Raw genomic sequence first — 19,778 nt, forward strand, 5'->3', positions numbered from 1 at the left:
AGTGGGGCCAGGCCATCCAACTCACAACCACCTTCTACTCTGCTTCCCCCGCACCCTGAAGTTTGTTCTGTTTTGAGGACACAGCCGTCACATTCTTGGTGGCTGAACAGCACTCCTTGTCAGGCGTGGCTGGGCCCCCACTGGAGGGCATCATGGTCCTCTCTCCTGCTGCGGTTGAACCTTGGCTGTTTCAACCACTCCTGCCAAGTGGCCCTCTGAAAGGGACAGTCCATCTTTTCTCAGCAGAGGGCCACACTGGCAAAACGGTCCCTGGCACCCTTTCTCTCCACCTGTCTAATATAGAGTAAAAATGGTATCATGTTAAGATCTTCATTTATATTTATTTTATCATGAATGATGTAAGCATCATTTTGTGTGTTTAAGAACCTTTGGGCCCAGCGTGATGGCTTGCAGCTGTAATCTCAGCACTTTAGGAGGCTGAGATGAGCGGATCACTTGAGGCCGGGAGTTTGAGACCAGCCTGGCCAACATGGAGAAACCCCGTCTCTAGTAAAAATTTAAAAATTAGCCGGGTATGGTGATCCCAGCTACTTGGGAGTCTGAAGCATGAGAATTGCTTGAACATGGGAGGCGGAGGTTGCAGTGAGCCGAGATCGCGCCATTGCACTCCAGCCTGGGCGACAGAGCGAGACTCTGTCTCAAAAAAAAAAAAAAAAAAGAAAAGAAAAGAAATTATCAATCTCCTCTTTTATGGCATATATATATATATATATATATATATATATATATATATATATTTTTTTTTTTTTTGGTTATGTTCAGAAAGGCCTTCCCTGCTCTGATCATAAAAAACAACTTATTTTCACACTCTCTCTCTTTTTTTTTTGAGACAGAGTTTTGCTCCTGTTGCCCAGGCTGGAGTGCAGTGGCGCAATCTCAGCTCACTGTAACCTCCGCCTCCCGGGTTGGAGTGATTCTCCTGCCTTACCTTCCCGAGTAGCTGGGATTATAGGCATGCACCACCATGCCTGGCTAATTTTGTACTTTTAGTAGAGACGGGGGTTTCTCCATGTTGGTCAGGCTGGTCTCGAACTCGCGACCTCAGGTGATCCACCCACCTCGGCCTCCCAAAGTGCTGGGATTACAGACGTGAGCCACCATGCCCAGCCCACACTCTCTTTCTTAACGTCCTCCTCCTTTCGTTTTACGTTCACATCTTTAATTCTTCTGGGATGTAATTAGATTTGATGAGCAAGGTGGGCATCCAGCTTGTTTCTTGGCTGATGGCTTATGGGTGGCGTGAATTAGTCGGGGTCTATCAGGAGGCAGAAACTCTATGAGAATTTGAACAGAGAAAGTTCCGTCTACAGGCTTATTACCAGGGACTGGAATAGCAGAAATTGAACAGTGAGATGTACAGAGAACTCTAAGAATGCAGGAATAGGCCAGGCATGGTGGCTCACACCTGTCATCCCAGCACTTTGGGAGACCAAGGCGGGTGGATCACCTGAGGTCAGGAGTTCGAGACCAGCCTGGCCAACATAGTGAAACCCCATCTCTACTAAAAATACAAAAAAATTAGCTGGGTGTGGTGGCGCATGCCTGTAATCCCAGCTTCTCGGGAGTCTGAGGCTGGAGAATCACTTGAACCTGGGAGGCAGAGGTTGTAGTGAGCCGAGATCATGCCATTGTACTCCAGCCTGGGCAACAAGAGCGAGACTCAGTCAAAACAACAACAACGCAGGAATAGCAGATGAGCCGAGTGGCCTCCCCAGCCCCCACCCCCCACCCCCCACCCTGGGCCGAGATCCAGTCCTCTTTGAATAGGGCCTGGCCGTGGTTCACGGGACATCTGAGACATTGCCGAGGCGCTGCACTGGTGGATCTTGCCAGAAGTCTGCCCAGTGCAGATTTGGGCAGAATCTCAAACTGCCTTGGGATGTAGGAGAGAAACCAGGCCTGGTCAAGTTCATGGGAAGAGGTGGAAACAGACCCCATAGGCTGGGGCTTGGGCAGCTGTAGGAAGCCCTCTCTGCTGCCTCCCTGCCTGCTCTCTGCTTTGAAGCATCTTCCCCAGTGCCCCCAGTCTCATGCCCTCTCAACGTTGGGGTCAAATCCTGAGGAATACCCAGACTGGCTCTCTGGGCCAAAGAGGACCCTCTCCAGAAAGAGCAGGGCCCAGTGCGGCTTCCTAAAGGGCAGGGGAAGGGCCTGGCCACTCCCCAGAGGCTACTCACCAGCCATCAGGATAGCCCCAGGAAGCAGGCCTTCTCGAGCCCATTTTATTACTTTATTTTATTATTTTATTTAATTTTAAATTTATTTTTTGAGACAGAGTCTCACTCTGTTGCCCAGGCTGGAGTGCAGTGGTGCGATCTCAACCCACTGCAGCCTCTGCCTCCAGGGTTCAAGGGATTCTCCCACCTCAGCCTCCCAAGTAGCTGGGATTACAGGTGCCCGCCACCACACCCGGCTAATTTTCATATTTTTAGTAGAGATGAGGTTTCACCATGTTGGCCAGGCTGGTCTCGAACTCCTGACCTCAAGTGATCCGCCCGCCTCGGCCTCCCAAAGTGCTAGGTCAAGCCCATTTTAAAGTTGAAGAAACTGAGGCTGAGGTAAATTCCCTCCCCAGGGATCCTGCTGCAGCCAGAAGGTGGTAAAACAGGACTTCACCCGGGTCTGTCTGGCGTGAAAGGCAGTGTTCTTGTACCACCCTAGGGGGCCTGAGAGAACTGAGTCCCTCGGGCATAACTGACAGTTCTGTTCCCATTATTCCGCAGGGGCTCGGATCTGGCTGTATGCTTTCCAGGATGGCCTTGGAGACCCACATAAGCCCTACACCCTTTGGGAAGCTGCATGTTGGGTTGGGGTGCCGTCAGTGGCACTTGTGGAAGGTGCAGACCTGTGTGGGTGTGTGGGCCCAGGGCCCCTGGTCCCTTCCTCCCTTTGTAGGGCTGGTTGTGTGCTGCCTGGACCTGGGGGGCACGTTCACGTGGTGAATTTGTCTATTTACTATCCCCGCTTTGGGGCTGGTGCCAGCACAGGCCCTTGTGAAGGGGGTGCCTTTGTCTGGAGTGGGACTGTGGCCCCTCCCTCAGCGTGGTGACTTCTGTGTCAGGGCTTCAGCAGGGACGCAGAGCCCCTGAGTGTTCGGAACAAGGGCGTCATTGCAGGAGTTAGACTGTGTGTGATGGAGGGAGGAGGGGCAGGAGGAAAGGTCAGAAGGAGAGTTCCTGGGAAGGTCCCTGAGGAGCCTGGTGAGGTGCTAACTGGTGTGGAGGACACTCAGGGCCTGTGGGGACATCTCCTACTGCTGGGGGCCAGCCACAAAGGGAACTGGCCGAAGTCCTGTCCCCGCCTTCACAGCCCAGCATCTGGTCACAAGGCAGGTACTTGGAAGGGCGCGGGCACCTGGGCCAAAAGTGCCTGGGTTCCCTTTGCCTTTCACTGAGATGACCTTCGGGGCAGGTGGCTGCTGCCTCCCCTCCTGTCCCCAGGTTTTGCCAACTGGCCAGAGGAAGGGGTCCTGGGAAGCAGGGGGGCCAGAAGCCCTCTCTGCAAGGAAAGCCCGAGGGGTGTGGGAGGAAGGAAGGAATGCCCAGGCTGGCGAGGCTCTAAGTCACCCTGGCTTGGCTCTCCTCAGATCCTGAACCCGCCGCCCTCCCCGGCCACGGACCCCTCCCTGTACAACATGGACATGTTCTACTCTTCAAACATTCCGGCCACTGCGAGACCGTACAGGTAGGACATCCCCTGCAGCCCTCCATGGCCATTGGGTTCCCGCCAGCCCGTGGTGGAGGGGCCTAATCCCCATGCCACTGATGAGGGGAGGTATTCTGGGTGCTAGTGGGCAGGTGCCGGGCCCAGCCCTGCCTCCCTCTGCTCTGCCAACCACACTAGGCTGCCTCCCCAGACAAGCTCAGCGGGCACTGCATGTTGGGTTCAGAAATCAGCAGAACTCCACGTTCTGAGCTGCTCTTCAAGTTGCTCCTATGGGGGTTACTTTTAAGCTGGGAAATGGCTGTGGCGTCGAGGGGCCGGGGGCTTGGGCTCCAGAGTCTGACTGTGTGTTTGAGTCCGGCTGTGGAAACCTAGCCATTGAGATGCCCCCTCTTGGTGGCTCTGTCCTCTTAGGATGGGACAAGTCTGTGAAGGCTGCTGCAGCACCCACCGTAGACCCCTAATCGTGTGACGTCACCAGGATGGTCCGGGCTGCTCACTTGCCACAGTGGCCTGTTTGAGCCCGGGAAGCCAACGGGGCTGCTCAGCTGGACACCAGCCCCCCGAGCTGCCCATGTTGGGGTCACAGGCCCCACCTCCCTGGTTGGGGAGGGGCAACTGAGAGTGTGGAGAGGTGGGACCCAGGTGTGCTGGTCTCCGCAGGGGCTGGATCAGAGCCTGGGATGGGCAGGGTGAGCCTCCTGACCTTTAACCCAGTGGTGTCAGGCAACGTGGCCCACCCGCCAGCCGCACCAGGCCCCACCCCCGCAGGTGAAGGGGTGGGATAGGCTGGGCCTGGGCCAGGACACCTCTGGACCACGCATTCCTCATTGCTTGGGTCCCTGGAGCAGCAGGGCCTCCCGAGTGTGGTGCCGCCTGCCACCTAGTGGCCATTTCCACGAACTCCCAGGCCTGGCTGGGGAGCCGGAACTGCAGCCTCCATTTCCACCCCACTCCGGGTCGGGCCACCTCCCTGATGCCTCAGTATTATATCAAACTGTCACAGTCTGTCCCACAGCCTTACAGACCACTGTCTCCAGAATGGTCACATCCACACTGGGCAGCCCAGTCTCGCTAGTTCCTCGTCCCACCTCCTGCCTTTGCTCATGCCCGTCCTGCTCTGGGCCCACCGCGGACACATCTTCCCCCCGCCCGCCGTCTGACCTCACAGCAGCTGGGCCCCAAGAGGAGTATCCTGTCCTGCTGCACTTTTCTCAACACCCGGTGTTGGCTGCACCTTCCCACCCATTGCAGGCCCCTCTGTGACAGGACGGGGGCTCCTAAACACACCACAGTTCCGAGTCTGAACTCACACAGTGGGATGCGGCGTTTCTGGGCCACAGTTGGGTGCAGGTAGCCTCTGGGAGGATGGGAGGTCAGGAGCCATCTTGCGAGTCAGGTTGCTTGAACTCAGGATGGAAGTGTTCCGGGCCCATTGGTTGCTGTATTAGCCTGTTCTCACGCTGCTAATAAAGACATACCCAAGACTGGGTAATTGTAAAGGAAAGAGGTTTAACGGACTCACAGTTCCACCTGCCTGGGGTGGCCTCACAATCATGGTAGAAGACAAGGAGGAGCAAGTCACATCTTACATGGCTTCAGGGAACAGACAGCATGAGAACCAAGCGAAAGGGGTTTCCCCTTGTAAAACCATCAAGTCTAGTGAGATTTATTCACTACCACGAGAACAGTATGGGGGGAACCACCCCCATGATTCAATCATCTCCCACTGGGTCCCTCCCACAGCACGTGGGAATTATGGGAGTACAATTCAAGATGAGATTTGGGTGGGGACACAGCCAAACCCTATCGGTTGCCAACATTTACAGTAACAGTGTTAGGTGAACAGTTGTCCAGTCTCCTGTTTTGTCGGACACTGTTTCTAGCACCTTCCAGGCAGAATCTCATGTATCCTTCACTTTCGAAATGGGTACTATTTCATCCCCACTTTTATCAATGAGAAACTAAAGCTCGAAGAGGTCAAGTAAGTTCCTGGCCAAGGTCAGCTAGCAGGCTCTAGAGGCCTCGTTCTCCTTAGAGGCAGCCTTGCCAGGGCCCAGGCTTGGCAGGCTGCAGGGCAGGTGCGGGCATGCCCATGGTAGAGGTGGGACCATTGAGGCTCAGAGAGGGTAAGTGATGAGCCCTGGCGACACAGCGGGGTGGGTCCAGAGTCCGGCCTGCATCTTCTGGAGCTGGCCAGTGGACAGGCCTTTCCCGTTCACAGCCCCGGGGCTGCTGTGCCCACCAGGGCGGATGTGCCTACCGAATCCCACTCCTCTGTGTGTGTCCCTTTCAGGCCCTACATCATTCGAGGAATGGCGCCCCCGACGACGCCCTGCAGCACCGACGTGTGTGACAGCGACTACAGCGCCAGCCGCTGGAAGGCCAGCAAGTACTACCTGGATTTGAACTCGGACTCAGACCCCTATCCACCCCCACCCACGCCCCACAGCCAGTACCTGTCGGCGGAGGACAGCTGCCCGCCCTCGCCCGCCACCGAGAGGAGCTACTTCCATCTCTTCCCGCCCCCTCCGTCCCCCTGCACGGACTCATCCTGACCTCGGCCGGGCCACTCTGGCTTCTCTGTGCCCCTGTAAATAGTTTTAAATATGAACAAAGAAAAAAATATATTTTATGATTTAAAAAATAAATATAATTGGGATTTTAAAAACATGAGAAATGTGAACTGTGATGGGGTGGGCAGGGCTGGGAGAACTTTGTACAGTGGAGAAATATTTATAAACTTAATTTTGTAAAACAGAACTGCCATTCTTTCGTGCCCTGTGTGCATTTGAGTTGTGTGTCCCCGTGGAGGGAATGCCGACCCCCGGACCACCATGAGAGTCCTCCTGCACCCGGGCGTCCCTCTGTCCGGCTCCTGCAGGGAAGGGCTGGGGCCTTGGGCAGAGGTGGATATCTCCCCTGGGATGCATCCCTGAGCTGCAGGCCGGGCCGGCTTTATGTGCGTGTGGCCTGTGCCGTCAGAAAGGGCCCTGGGCTTCATCACGCTGTTGCTGTTCGTCTTCCTCAGATTCTTAGTCTTTTTTTTTTTTTTTTTTTTTTTGAGACGGAGTCTTTCTCTGTCATCCAGGCTGGAGTGCAGTGGTACAATCTCAGCTCACTGCAAGCTCCGACTCCCAGGTTCAAGTGAGTCTCCTGCCTCAGCCTCCCGAGTAGCTGGGACTACAGGTGCGCGCCACCACACCCGCCCAGCTAATTTTTGTATTTTTAGTAGAGATGGGGTTTCACCATGTTGGCCAGGATGATCTCGATCTCTTGACCTCGTGATCCGCCCACCTCGGCCTCCCAAAGTGCTGGGATTATAGGCATGAGCCACTGTACCCAGCTGACTCTTAGTCACTTTTAAGAAGGGGACTGTGCCTTCATTTTTCACTGGGCCCTGCAGAATATATGCCTGGGCTCTGGGCTCTTCTGAACCTGTGTTGGCTTCCATCTGACCTCTCTGTGCCAGCCCAAGGCTGCTGCTCTTCCTGAGGGCAAGGAGCCCCATGACTGCGTGTTGACTCGCTGGATGGGGCTGCTGAGCCCACTCTGCCACACCACGTGCCCCTGGCAGGGAGGGAATCCCTGGGTCCTCACAGGAACAGTCAGCAAGCCACACCTGACGCCTGCTGTGGGCCCATCCCTGCGGTGCTGGAGAAGACAGACAAGGCCTGGTCACTGCCTCTGCAGGGTCCCCAGTCCGTGGAAGGAGACAGTAATCTAGGCATTTTCGGTGGGGAAGCTGAGCTGTTCTCGTGTCCTGAAGGCCAGGCGGGAACAGCCGTCTTCAGAGGGAAGGGAGAAAATGCACATCGCATCAGTGGAGAAGGGCCTGACTTCCCTCAGCATGGTGGAGGGAGGTCAGAAAACAGTCAAGCTTGTTGCTGGGTGACAGTGCATTTAATAATCAAAATATAGGCTGGGTACGGTGGCTCATGCCTGTAATCCCAGCACTTTGGGAGGCTGAGGCAGGTGGATCACTTGAGGCCAGGAGTTTGAGACCGGCCTGGCCAACATGGCAAAACCTCAACTACTAAAATACAAAAACTAGCCGGGCGTGGTGGTGCACGCCTGTAATCCCAGCTACTTGGGAGGCTGAGGCAGGAGAATTGCTTGAACCTGGGAGGCGGAGGCTGCAGTGAGCCGAGATTGTGCCACTGCACTCCAGCCTGGGCAACAGAGCAAGACTCTGTCTCAAAAAAAAAAAAAAAAAAAGCAATACAAAATACAAATATCACTTTCACTAAAAGAAGGGATGGAAGACCCAAAACAAACAGAAAACAACAAAATGGCAGGAGTAAGTCCCCACTTATCAATAATAACATTGACTGTAAATAGGCTAAGCTCTGCAATCAAAAGAGTGGGCCAGGAGCGGTGGCTCACGCCTGTAATTCCAACGCTTTGGGAGGCTGAGGCGGATGGATCATTTGATGTCACGAGTTTTAAGACCAGCCTGGCCAACAAGGTGAAACCCCATCTGTACTAAAAATACAAAAATTAGCCAGGCGGTAGTGGCACGCACCTGTAATCCCAGCTACTTGTGAGGCTGAGGCAGGAGAATCACTGGAGGCTGGGAAGCGGAGGTTGCTGTGAGCCAAGATGGAGCCACTGCACTCCCACCTGGGCGACAGAGTGAGATCCTGTCTTAAGAAAAAAAAGAGTGGATGAATGGATCAAAAAACAAGACCCAACCATCTCTTGCATACAAGAAACACACTTTACCTATAAAAACACACTAGGCCAGGTGTGGTGGCTCACACCTGTAATCCCAGCCCTTTGGGAGGCCTGACTGGCAGATCACCTGAGGCCAGGAGTTTCAGACCAGCTTGACCGACATGGCAAAACCCCATCTCTCCTAAAAATACAAAAAAACAAAAAAAAGAAAAAGGCTGGAAGTAGTGATGTGTGCCTGTAGCCCCAGCTACTTGGGAGGCTGAGGCAGGAGAATTGCTTGAATCCGGGAAGTGGAGGTTGCAGTGAGCCAGGATGGTGCCACTGCACTCCAGCCTGGGTGACAGAGCGAGACCCTGTCATAAAAAAAAAAAGAAAAGAAAAGAAAAACGAGAAAAACAAACACAAAATTAGTAGAAGAAAAGAAATAATAAAGATCAGAACAGGCCAGGCTCATGGGCACAGTGGCTCAACTCCTACCTGCTCAGGAGTTTGAGACCAGTCTGGCCAACATGGCAAAACCCCATCTCTCCTAAAAATATGAAAAAAAAAAAATAGGCTGGATGTGGTGATGTGTGTGTGCCTGTAGCCCCAGCTACTTGGGAGGCTGAGGTGGGAGAATCACTTGAGCCCAGGAAGTGGAGGCTGCAGCGAGTCATGAATGCACCCTGCACTCTAGCTGGGTAACTGGAGTGAGATTCTGTCTCAAAAAAGCAAAGACCAGAGCAGAAATAAATGAAATGGAAATGAAGGAAACAATGCAAAATGATACAAAAAGTTTTTTCGAAAAGATAAACAAAATCAACAAACCTTTAGCCAGATTAAGAAAAAAAGAGAGAAGACCCAAATAAATAAAATCCGAGATTAAAAAGGAGACATTACCACTGATACCACAGAAATTCAAAGGATCATTAGAGGCAACTATGTGCAACTATATGCTAATGAACTGGAAAACCTAGAAGAACTGGGTAAATTTCTAGACACATACAACCTATCAAGATTGAACCATGAAGAAATCCAAAACCTGAACAGGCCGGGCACGGTGGCTTACGCCTGTAATCCCAGCACTTTGGAAGGCCTGAGATCAGGAGTTCGAGACCAGCCTGGCCAACATGGTGAAACCCCATCTCTACTGAAAAAATATAAAAATTAGCCGGGCGTGGTGGCGGGTGCCTCTAATGTCAGCCACTCGGGAGGCTGAGGCAGGAAAATCACTTGAACCTGGGAGGCATAGGTTGCAGCGAGCCGAGGTTGCACCACTGCACTCCAGCCTTGGCGACAGAGCCAGACTCCATCTCAAAAAAATTAAAATAACAAAAACCTGAACAGACCAATAACAAGTAATGCGATGAAAACTGTAATAAAATGTTTCCCAACAAAGAAAGCCCAGGAACAAATGGCTTCACTGCTGAATTTTACCAAACATTTTTTTTTTTTTGAGACGGAGTCTCGCTCTGTCGCCCAGGCTGGAGTGCAGTGGCGCAATCTCAGTTCACTGCAAGCTCCTCCTCCCGGGTTCATGTCATTCTCCTGCCTCAGCCTCCTGAGTAGCTGGGACTACAGGTGCCCACCACCACGCCCGGCTAATTTCTTGTATTTTTAGTAGAGACGGGGTTTCACTGTGTTAGCCAGGATGGTCTCGATCTCTTGACCTCATGATCAGTCCACCTCAGCCTCCCAAAGTGCTGGGATTACAGGCATGAGCCACTGCGCCTGACCAAGATCCTGTCATTTATAACAAAGCAACAACGTGGATGGAACTGGAGGTCATTATGTTAAGTGAAACAAGCGAGGCACAGAAAGAGAAACTTCACGTGTTCTCACTTATTTGTGGGAGCTAAACTTTTTTTTTTTCGGGATGGAATCTTACTCTGTCACCCAGACTGGAGTGCAGTGGCGCAATCTTGGCTCACTGCAACCTCTGCCTCCCAGTTTCAAGCGATTCTCCTGCCTCAGCCTCCCAAGTAGCTGGGACTACAAGCGCCCACCACCACGCCCAGCTAATTTTTGTGTTTTTAGTAGAGATGGGGTTCCACCATGTTGGCCAGGCTGGTCTCAAACTCCTGACCTCGTGATCCACCTGCCTCAGCCTCCTGAAGTGCTGGGATTACAGGCGTGAGCCACCATGCCCGGCCGGGGAGCTAAAAATTAATACAATTGAACTCATAGAGATAGAGAGTAGAAGGATGGTTACCAGAGGCTGAGAAGGGTAGTGGGTTTGGGGGGTGAGGTGGAGGAGAGATGGTTAACAGGTACAGAAATACAGTTAGATAGAATGAAGAAGATCCGTATTTGGTAGCACAGCAGGGTGACTGGAGTCAACAATAATTTATTGTACATTTAAGAATAAATAGGCTGGGGGCGGTGGCTCATGCCTGTAATCCCAGCACTTTGGGAGGCCGAGACGGGCGGATTATGAGGTCAGGAGATCGAGACCATCCTGGCTAACACGGTGAAACCCTGTCTCTACCAAAAATACAAAAAAAAAAATTAGCCGGGCACGGTGGCAGGCGCCTGTAGTCCCAGCTACTCGCGAGGCTGAGACAGGAGAATGGCATGAACCCAGGAGGCAGAGCTAGGAGGCAGAGCTTGCAGTGAACTGAGATCATGCCACTGCACTCCAGCCTGGGCGACTGAGGGAGACTCCGTCTCAACAAAAAAAAAAAAAAAGAATAAGTAGGAAAGTATAATTAGATTTTTTTTTGTAACACAAAGGATAAATGCTTGATGTGATGGTTACATCATTTACCCTGATGTGATTATTATACGTTATATGCCTGTATCAAAACATCATGGCTGGGCACGGTGGCTCAGGCCTGTAATCCCAGCACTTTCGGAGGCTGAGGCGGGCGGATCACGAGGTCAGGAGATCGAGACCATCCTGTCCCACATGGTGAAAGCCCGTCTCTACTAAAAATACAAAAATTAGCTGGGTGTGGTGGCGCGTGCCTGCAATCCCAGCTACTCGGGAGGCTGAGGCAGGAGAATCGCTTGAACCGGGAGGCGGAGATTGCAGTACGCCGAGATCACGCCACTGCACTCCAGCCTGAGGACAGAGTGAAACTCTGTCTCAAAAAAAAAAAAAAAAAAGTTTCATGTACCCCTAGGCTGGGCGGGCACGGTGGCTCACGCCTGTAATCCCAGCACTTTGGGAGGCTGAGGCGGGCGGATCGCTTGAGGCCAGGGATTCAAGACCAGCCTGGGCAACGTGGCGAAACCCTGTCTCTACTAAAAAAACAAAATAATTAGCCAGGCATGGTGCGTGCGCCTGTAATCCGGCTACTCAGGAAGACTGAGGCAGGAGAATGGCGTGAACCCGGGAGGCGGAGCTTGCAGTGAGCCGAGATCATGCCACCACCCTCCAGCCTGGGCAACAGAGCGAGACTGCGTCTCAAAATAAATAAATAAATAAATAAATAAATAAATAAATAAATAAATAAAATAAAACAAACAACACACACACACACACACACACACACACACACACCCTAACACAAAGACCTGGAAGAAGTGCCTGGAGAGAGTCTCCTGGCCTCCCAACAGGACCCCAAAAATTGAACCCTTGATCAATGGGGCTGGATGTGCAGAGGTGGTGACAGCCCAGGGAGGCTGGGTCTCCTGAACCCGCCTTTCCCGCCCACGCAGTCAGCTGGGGAGAGTGAGGGGCTCATCCGCCGGCTGCCTACCCTCTGCCAAGTACATCCTTCAGTAAGTGCCTGAAGCGGGCACAGCCCTGCCCTTATGCCACTTATGTGCTGGGAGACCCAGAGATTAGTCAGGTGTGGCTCCTCCCCTGCATTTGCTCCCAATCCAGGAGACAGCGGGGTTCCAAAGCCATAAGGAAGCATTGTTCTAAGATACCCTAGAGCCCAGAGGGCCGTCATATTCACACAGGAAGCCAGAGGGGGCTTCTTGGAGGAGGCAGTGTCTGAGCTGTGTCTTAAAGGAGGAGGTGAAGTTAACCTGGCTTATTTAAACTTCACAACAGTCCAGCCAGGTAGGGGGTGTTCCCAGAATCTACTTGAGGGAACTGAGGTTTGGGTAAAAAGAAGCAAAGCCAACATTTTTTTTTGCATCCGTTTAATCTTTTGTTTATCCAATACACGTTACTAACTGGCTACCAGGTGCTACTCAATGTGGCCAAAAAGGCATGTACCTTCTCTCCAAACCCTCTCACCTCTGCAGTGACAGCCACTACTCCCCAAGTCTCTGTCACCCCTCACTGAGCCCTGAGGGGTCTCTTGTATAATGGGCTCCCTCCCCACCAACCAGAGCAGAGATGGGTCCTTTGCTCAGCTCAGCCTTCCTCCAACCCCTCATTCCAGAATGGGTGTGGGAGCTTCCTGCCTGCCCTGGGGCACTGAGGCAGCATCGCCCGGGCAGTTGAAGAAAGTCCATGTTGCCAGTTTGGCTATTTCCACTGCCGGGGAGGCCACTGTGGGAGGTCTTGTTCCCGAGAAATGTGGGTGGTTAGGACGGTGGCTAGGGCTTGGGTCCCACTCAGCCCCTGTGAGGTTCCCTCTCCTGGGCCACTCGGCTGGCAGCCTCTGGACCTCCTGGTTGGGCCACACCTTCAGATGCCACCGGGGAACCCCCTCACTGGCCTCTTTTCTGTGGTCCTCTCCCAGGGTGCCACAGCTTGATCTCTCTCCTTCCAAATGTCCTCTTCTCTCTTTCCCCATAGGCTTGACGGCAGCCCTAGTTGTTAGTAACTCAGCGGCTACACTTTCTCCCAACACTCAGGCTCCCAACCATCCTTTATAGGAAGGGAAATACCTGCTTCCCAAGCGGTATTGAATCTTAATGCAGTGAAGAAGAAAGAGAAGCAGAAGAGCTCAGTTTCCACGTTGAAATGGGCCGACCCCTCATATCCTACATGAGCCCCTAGCTGGCCTCTCCCGTCCAGCCTCAACACCTCTTGACCTGACCTGGCCTGGGCTCCTGAACACCAGCCAAGCCCTTCCTGGCATGTCCTCTTCTGGGGCAGCCCCTCTCCAGCCCGTGGATCAGCGCCAGCCTGGGATGGACTGTGCCCTGGTGACATAACAAAGGGAAAGACAATACGGCATTTTTCCCTTCAAGTTGAACTTCTTGTTTTTTTTTTTTTTTTCAGACAGAGTTCCGCTCTTCCACCCAGGCTGGAGTACAGTGGCAGAATCTCGGCTCACTGCAACCTCCGCCCCCAGGTTCAAGTGATTGTCCTGCCTCAGCCTCCCGAGTAGCTGGGATTACAGGCGCCCGCCACCACGCCCAGCTAATATTTGTATTTTTAGTAGAGATGGGGTTTCTCCATGTTGGCCTCAAACTCCAGACCTCAGGTGATCCGCCCACCTTGGCCTCCCAAAGTGCAGGAATTACAGGTGTGAGCCACACACCCGGCCTGAACTTCTTCAATTTAAGCTCTTCTTTATTCAGAGCTAGTTTTTCCTGTGTTAGTGTATGTGTGTGTTAGCATGTCCTTTCTTTTATGAAATTATGATAATAGTAAATACTTAAAAAAAATCATTACAGAATTAAAATTGGGGGCCGGGTGTGGTGGCTCATTCCTGTAATCCTAGCACTTTGGGAGGCCAAGGCAAGCGGATCACTGGAGGTCAGGAGTTCAAGACCAGCCTGGCCAACGTGGTGAAACCCTGTCTCTACTTAAAACACAAAATTAGCTGGGCGTGGTGGTGTGTGCCTGTAATCCCAGCTACTCAGAAGGCAGAGGAAGGAGAGTCGCTGGAACCTGGGAGGCAGAGGTTGCAGTGAGCCAAGATTGTGCCAATGCACTCCAGCCTGGGCAACAAAGCAAGACTCCATCTCAAAAAAAAAAAAAAAAAAATTAAAATTTGGCAGCTCTGAGTCTGTTCCCAAAATTTAAGTCATGATAGCCAGGTGATGGGTGCTTGAGCATGCAGCCTGCTCTTCTCTCTGCTTTTGAATATGTTTGAAACTATTCAGTTACATGTGTGTTTTTTTAATAATTTGTTATTAATTTTTGCGGGTACATAGCAGGTACATATATTTATGGGGTTTTTTTTAAAGTCTAGATGGATTGAAAAGTTTAATATTAATATGAAACATTAAACTACAAAAGGATCAGGAGGAAAGACAGAAGGTGGTGATCCCTGAAATCTAGAAGTTTTAGGGTAGAGACGTCAATCTGTGTAGAATGCAAAGCTTCTAAGTCATTCCTCTGCTTAAAGCCTGTCAGTAGCTCCCCATGGCTCTCAGGACCCAGGCTGAGCTCAGATACCTCCTCCTCCAGGAAGTCCTCCCTGACTTCAACCTTCTGGTTAGGTTAGAAGCAAACCATAAGTGGAGACCTTAGGGGCCCACTTACGTTGGGCAAGGTACTATATGATTTCATTATAATGTATATGGCCCTGTGACCCACCTCAGAGTCAGGGATGGAGGAGCCTGGTGCAGATACTGGCAAATCCTTTGATGATGAGTGAGTATAGGGATGCAAGGGTCGGTGGGGGTGTTGGGTCCTCCCTGGGCTCCCCAGCACGGAAGGACGGACGGGAGCCCAGCCCTGGCTGCCCCCTCCTGCCCATGGCCCAGCCTCCCTCTCAGGCACCAGCCAGTCCCAGGACTCTCTGAAACCTTTCCTGGGCTCCTTAGTCCAGCTCCAAGCTGCCCCTCTGGCCCTGTGCTACACCTGGTGCTCCCTGCTCTCGCTTCCAGCCATCTTCTCTAGAGTATGGCCAGCCCTTCTTCTGCCCGGAAGCTTTCCTTGGCTCCCATGGTCTGAGCATAAACCCAGGTTCCTCCGCCTGGCTTCCAAAGCCTCCATGGTCCCTTCTGCACCTGCTTCTCGAGCTGTTGCCCCAGACCTGAGATCAGCCCCACCCTGCCTTCCACGGGGTGTGCTCCTTCCACCTTGCTGCCTCGGCCTCTTTCCCTGGCATGGCCGCTCCCGCCCTGCCCAGGTGATCAGCCTGTGAATCCCCTCCCTAACCCCCACACAGAGCACACCTCCCAGGCTGGCTTCCGGCTTGACTATGTTCCTCCATGCCTCTCTGAGTAGCAGGATCAATGTGAGAAAGGTCTGCCCTGTCTGCAGCCTCCCCAGAAGCACAGTACTTTTCGTGGCGCGTACACGGGCTGGTAGATACAGTTGTCCCTCTGTATCCGTGGGAGATTGCTTCTGGGACCCCCAAGGATTCTCAAGTCCCATATATAAAATGGCTTAGTACAGTTAACAACAGAGACGTGTTCTGAGAAATGCATCGTTAGGCAATTTTGTCCTTTGCAAACATCACAGGTATACTTAGCACAAACCCAGATGGTCTAGCCTACTACACACCTGGGCTATATGGGATAGCCTATCGCTCCTAGACTACACATCCATACAGCATGTTACTGTGCTGAATACTGAAAGCAGCTGTAACACAATGGTAAATATTTGTGTATCTAAACATAGAAAAGATCCAGTACAGCTGGGCGCGGTGGCTTACGCCTGTAATCCCAGCACTTTGGGAGGCTAAGGTGGGTGGATCACCTGAGGTCAGGAGTTCAAGACCAGCCTGGTCAACATGGTGAAACCCCCATCTCTACTAAAAATACAAAAATTAGTGGGACATGGTGGCATGCACCTGTAATTACAGCTACTGGGGAGGCTGAGGCAGGGAGAATTGCTTGAACCCAGGAGGCAGAGGTTGCAGTGAGCTGAGATCGCCCCATTGTACTCCAGCCTGGGCGACAGAGCAAGACTCCATCTCAAAAAAAAAAAAAAAAAAAGTCCAGTACAACTACAATATCATAATCTTATGAGACCAGTCTTTTTTGTTTTTATTTATTTATTTATTTTTTGAGACAGAGTTTCGCTCTGTCGTCGAGTCTAGAGTTCAGTGGTGCAATCTCGGCTCACTGCAAGCTCCGCCTTCCGGGTTCACGCCATTCTCCTGCCTCAGCCTCCTGAGTAGCTGGGACTACAGGCGCCCGCCACTGCGCCCGGCTATTTTTTTTTTCTTTTTGTATTTTTAGTAGAGACGGGGTTTCACCGTGTTAGCCAGGATGGTCTCGATCTCCTGACCTCGTGATCCACCCGCCTCCGCCTCCCAAAGTGCTGGGATTACAGGCGTGACCGCGCCGTGACCTCCTGTGGATTTTCATGGGACTCTGAGAGGCGCCTCAAATCCATTTTGGAATAAGGCAGGTTATTAGCATGGGGTCTAACCGTGGGCTGTCTCGGTGTCCTGGGCTGGCTCTTGGGGCGGGGGTCCTGATGTCCGGGACCTCGGTCCTACCTGGGAGGCACAGATATGGCGGGGAACGGGAAGCCCGGGGGAGCATTTAGAAGCTCGTGTGCACAGGGAAACCCTGTCTCTACAAAAAAATTAAATTAGCGGGGCCCAGTGGTGCGTGCCTATGGTCCCAGCTACTCGGGAGGCTGAGGTGGGGGGACTGCTTGAGCCCAGGAGGTGGAGGCTGCAGTGAGTCATGATCACCCCACTGCACTCCAGCCTGGACAACAGAGCAAGACCTTGTCTCAAAAAAGACCCCAGGCCAGGCGCGGTGGCTCACCCCTATAACCCCTGCACTTTGGGAGGCTGAGGTGGGCGGATCACCTGAGGTCAGGAGTTCGAGACCAGCCTGGCCAACATGGTGAAACACCCGTCTCTTCTAAAAATACAAAAATTAGCCGGGCATGGTGGCGTGCACTTGTAATCCCAGCTACACGGGAGGCTGAGACAGAACTGCTTGAACCTGGGAGGCGGAGGTTGCAATGAGCTGAGGTCGCACCACTGCACTCCAGCCTGGGGGACAACAGGGAAACTCCGTCTCAAACAAAACCAAACCCCAAAAGTTCTCGTCTAAGTCCTTCTCCCAGGACAAGGGCACTTATCTCTTGGCGGTGCGTCACAGGTAGGGATATTCCGCGATCCCTCACCTTGACCCCGCTACGAGGACAGCCACCTCTTTCAGGTAAAGAGATCGCAATGGGAAATCATTCTGATAAAAATTCCCCTGTGGAGAATGCAGGCATCGATCCCGTTACCTCTCACATACTAAACGAACGCTCCTCCACTTAAGCTGATTCCCTAGCCCGGCCTAACCTTTGCAGCCGGCGCATATTGTGGCTCACGTCACCACCGGTGTCCCCCGCCGCCCCCGCCCCGCCCGGCCAGCTCGCCACCCTATTGGATCCCTCACGGCTCCGGCTCCACGGCCATGATGGGCTTGGCTCAATTTAGTTTTAAAAAGCATTGGCCACTCGGATTGGTGGTCCGAAGCGTCCGTCAAGCGGAGGACCTGCTGTTGCTACGGCGTAGGGGGTCCCAGCCAGGTTTCTCCCCGTTTCTGATTTGTTTCTCAGGCTCCGGGGTCCTAGAGGTTCCGGATCCGTCAAGTCCATGGGAAAAGAATGCGCCCCTCGCGCTTGACTGACGAGGCTTGCGGGCCAATCGGAATGTAGTCAAAGGAGCCGCTAGGCGATCCAATAGGTAGTAGGGGGCGGGAGAGAGGGGCCAATGAGCCTGGAGCTGGGGGCGGGGGCAGGGCCGCGATTGGCTGAGAGGCGGCCAGAGGGCGGGCGGGGGGGAACTCAAGGCCTGCTTGATACGTCCGCCATTTTGGGCGCTTCGCTGATGGTGTCGGTGAGCGCGTTTCCCGCCTGAGCGCAACTAGCGGCGGGTCGTGGGCACCTCCAGGTAATGGGGGTAGGGGAGGCGCCGGAGCAGGCCGCGGCGCGGGGTGTGCGAGGCGCGCGGGCAGGCGCGGGGCCCCTCCACCTGGCCTCAGCGGCTCAGGGAGGGAACGTCCCGGCCCCTCTCCCCTCCCCCCCCGGAATTCGTCGCTCCGCGGGCCCGGGAGGCGCGGCGCCGAGTCCTTCCCGGCCGCTCCCCGTCCGCTCCTGTTAGCCGGGGGCCCCGCCAGGACGGGCGCCGGGAGCGGGACGCGGTCGGGGCGGCGACTTTGTGCCTCGTTGACGTTCGCGGCCTGGCGCGGCGGGCGGGCGAGGCGCGCCCCTGACCCGGCTCTGGCTCCAGCCTTCCCGCCCGCCGGCCGCGGCCCGCAGTCTCGCCCCCCGCCCGGCCCGCGCCCGGTCTCCGCTCCCGCTGGGCCTCCCGGGGGCCTCGGGGAGCGCGTCAAGTTGAGGCAGCAACTCGCCGTCAAGAGTCGCGAAGACCATTGTTGGACTCTGCTCTTCGGGAAACAAGTTTTGTGGGTTTCTGTTAATTCGCCGCAGAGTCATCGGGATCCACACCAGCCAGTTCCGAGGCTCCCAGTACCCTTCCCAGTGGCTTTTTAACTCCTGTGAGGTGGCTTGTATGTAAACTGTCTCGAATGCCTCCCTGGTGTATTTGAGCCGGGGGTGGGGGGGGTGGGTGGTCCTTCTTGTGGCTTGAAGTCCCTCCCTCTTAAAGAAGCCCATTCACTGTTTACTTGGAGGTGTTTCCTGTTGAGGTCCTGCTGGCTGTGATCACAATTTAGACTTTTTAATTATAGGTGAACGGGATGGGTCTTTGGATGTACCTCCGTGCCCTGACGTTTCAACCGCGTGACTTAATGTCATTTTCCTGGTACTTCACGTTTTCTCTGTGGGGCTTTGGGTCTGTTTTGCTTTTATGGGAGGGGGTGCTTGACAGGCGTTCCCTTTCATCCTCGCAGCACTTGTTGACGGGGTGGTGTCCTTTATTCGTGGGACGTTTACTTTGATTTTGTCCTCAAGGTCATGTTGCAGATAGGCTTCAAGGGGGACAGGGACTCCAGGTTTCCAACCACCGAACTGTGCCTCAAGTAGCAAGTGTATGAGACCCAGTTATGGTGGTGGTTGGGTTTTCCTCACTGTGGAGTGGAGTCAGTGACCACTTTTTAGCTCTGTGACCTTGGGCAAGTTACCCAGCTTCTCTTTTTTTTTCTCTGTAGTATGGGAATAATAATAAGTGTCCCAGCCATAAGTTTGTCAGGATAATTGCCCTAATACATGTAAAACAGCTAGAGCTGTGCCTGGCACATACAGTCACCTCAGTGGCTGATTAGTGGTTAGGCTAGTTAATGGCTATTATTGTTTAATTTAAATTTGATTTTTAAATGTTTAGGTACTATTGGGAAGTCAGATGAGCATTTGAGTCCCGACTCTTGGTGACTGCCTTTAGAAAGCTCTGTGTAAGACTCAGTTGGGCTGAAAAAGTAAAACTATAAGTTATTTTAATTTTTTCAGGACAGGGTTTTTGACCATTCCTTAAATTAGGAACATTTACCGGAGTAATTAATGAGTAGTAGCGCCTCATAATGTTTAAAGAGATGGTTAAATACAGAAAAGCCCATCACAAGCTTAAGTCGGGCTTTGTTCCTCATGTGCTTTTGGATACTAGTTTCTGGGTGACTGCCACCCGAATCAGTAACTAGGGTTTCTTAGTGTAAGTCCTCCTTGTTACTGAAAACTGTAAGGGTGCCGTGGATTGCAGTATTCTTCAGCAAAGATA

General features: G+C 53.0%; 2 protein-coding genes across 95 annotated transcripts in view, besides 9 other annotated features; both read left to right on the forward strand.

The window, feature by feature from the left end:
• The window catches only part of LRP5 (LDL receptor related protein 5), a 150,864-nt gene extending 144,417 nt beyond the window's left edge, over positions 1–6,447 (forward strand). For 4 of the 11 annotated variants that reach the window (XM_011545029.2, XM_005273994.3, XM_017017735.2 and 1 more), the window contains 3 exons: positions 2,745–2,858; positions 3,608–3,705; positions 5,981–6,447. In XM_011545029.2, the coding sequence (XP_011543331.1) occupies positions 2,745–2,858; positions 3,608–3,705; positions 5,981–6,242 (474 nt within the window). In that variant the 3' untranslated portion in view covers positions 6,243–6,447. Of the gene's footprint in view, positions 1–2,744; positions 2,875–3,607; positions 3,706–4,098; positions 4,330–5,980 lie in introns of those variants that run through there. The other 7 variants (XM_011545030.2, NM_002335.4, NM_001291902.2 and 4 more) reach the window with 5 other exon arrangements.
• Positions 3,547–4,150: an enhancer, noted in NCBI's record as "H3K4me1 hESC enhancer chr11:68213843-68214446 (GRCh37/hg19 assembly coordinates)". NCBI's record gives its function as "activates a minimal SCP1, AML or CMV promoter by ChIP-STARR-seq in primed H9 embryonic stem cells {active_cell/tissue: H9 hESC(primed)}" and the evidence as "EXISTENCE:reporter gene assay evidence [ECO:0000049][PMID:30033119]".
• Positions 4,151–4,755: an enhancer, noted in NCBI's record as "H3K4me1 hESC enhancer chr11:68214447-68215051 (GRCh37/hg19 assembly coordinates)". NCBI's record gives its function as "activates a minimal SCP1, AML or CMV promoter by ChIP-STARR-seq in primed H9 embryonic stem cells {active_cell/tissue: H9 hESC(primed)}" and the evidence as "EXISTENCE:reporter gene assay evidence [ECO:0000049][PMID:30033119]".
• Positions 4,423–4,492: a silencer, noted in NCBI's record as "silent region_3672". NCBI's record gives its function as "represses an Ori minimal core promoter by ATAC-STARR-seq in GM12878 lymphoblastoid cells {active_cell/tissue: GM12878}" and the evidence as "EXISTENCE:reporter gene assay evidence [ECO:0000049][PMID:35858748]".
• Positions 4,756–5,359: an enhancer, noted in NCBI's record as "H3K4me1 hESC enhancer chr11:68215052-68215655 (GRCh37/hg19 assembly coordinates)". NCBI's record gives its function as "activates a minimal SCP1, AML or CMV promoter by ChIP-STARR-seq in primed H9 embryonic stem cells {active_cell/tissue: H9 hESC(primed)}" and the evidence as "EXISTENCE:reporter gene assay evidence [ECO:0000049][PMID:30033119]".
• Positions 17,335–17,484: a silencer, noted in NCBI's record as "silent region_3673". NCBI's record gives its function as "represses an Ori minimal core promoter by ATAC-STARR-seq in GM12878 lymphoblastoid cells {active_cell/tissue: GM12878}" and the evidence as "EXISTENCE:reporter gene assay evidence [ECO:0000049][PMID:35858748]".
• Positions 17,595–17,654: an enhancer, noted in NCBI's record as "active region_5140". NCBI's record gives its function as "activates an Ori minimal core promoter by ATAC-STARR-seq in GM12878 lymphoblastoid cells {active_cell/tissue: GM12878}" and the evidence as "EXISTENCE:reporter gene assay evidence [ECO:0000049][PMID:35858748]".
• Positions 17,795–18,164: a silencer, noted in NCBI's record as "silent region_3674". NCBI's record gives its function as "represses an Ori minimal core promoter by ATAC-STARR-seq in GM12878 lymphoblastoid cells {active_cell/tissue: GM12878}" and the evidence as "EXISTENCE:reporter gene assay evidence [ECO:0000049][PMID:35858748]".
• PPP6R3 (protein phosphatase 6 regulatory subunit 3) overlaps positions 17,924–19,778 on the forward strand; it is a 154,583-nt gene continuing 152,728 nt past the window's right edge. For 83 of the 84 annotated variants that reach the window (NR_147971.2, NR_147966.2, NR_147967.2 and 80 more), the window contains exon 1: positions 17,924–17,999. The gene's annotated coding sequence lies outside the window, so the exon portion shown is untranslated. Of the gene's footprint in view, positions 18,000–18,798; positions 18,873–19,778 lie in introns of all 84 variants that reach the window. The other variant, NM_001352362.2, reaches the window with a different exon arrangement.
• Positions 18,175–18,224: a silencer, noted in NCBI's record as "silent region_3675". NCBI's record gives its function as "represses an Ori minimal core promoter by ATAC-STARR-seq in GM12878 lymphoblastoid cells {active_cell/tissue: GM12878}" and the evidence as "EXISTENCE:reporter gene assay evidence [ECO:0000049][PMID:35858748]".
• Positions 18,275–18,384: a silencer, noted in NCBI's record as "silent region_3676". NCBI's record gives its function as "represses an Ori minimal core promoter by ATAC-STARR-seq in GM12878 lymphoblastoid cells {active_cell/tissue: GM12878}" and the evidence as "EXISTENCE:reporter gene assay evidence [ECO:0000049][PMID:35858748]".

The sequence above is a fragment of the Homo sapiens genome, chromosome 11, assembly GCF_000001405.40.
Source record: "Homo sapiens chromosome 11, GRCh38.p14 Primary Assembly".
Taxonomy (NCBI): domain Eukaryota; kingdom Metazoa; phylum Chordata; class Mammalia; order Primates; family Hominidae; genus Homo; species Homo sapiens.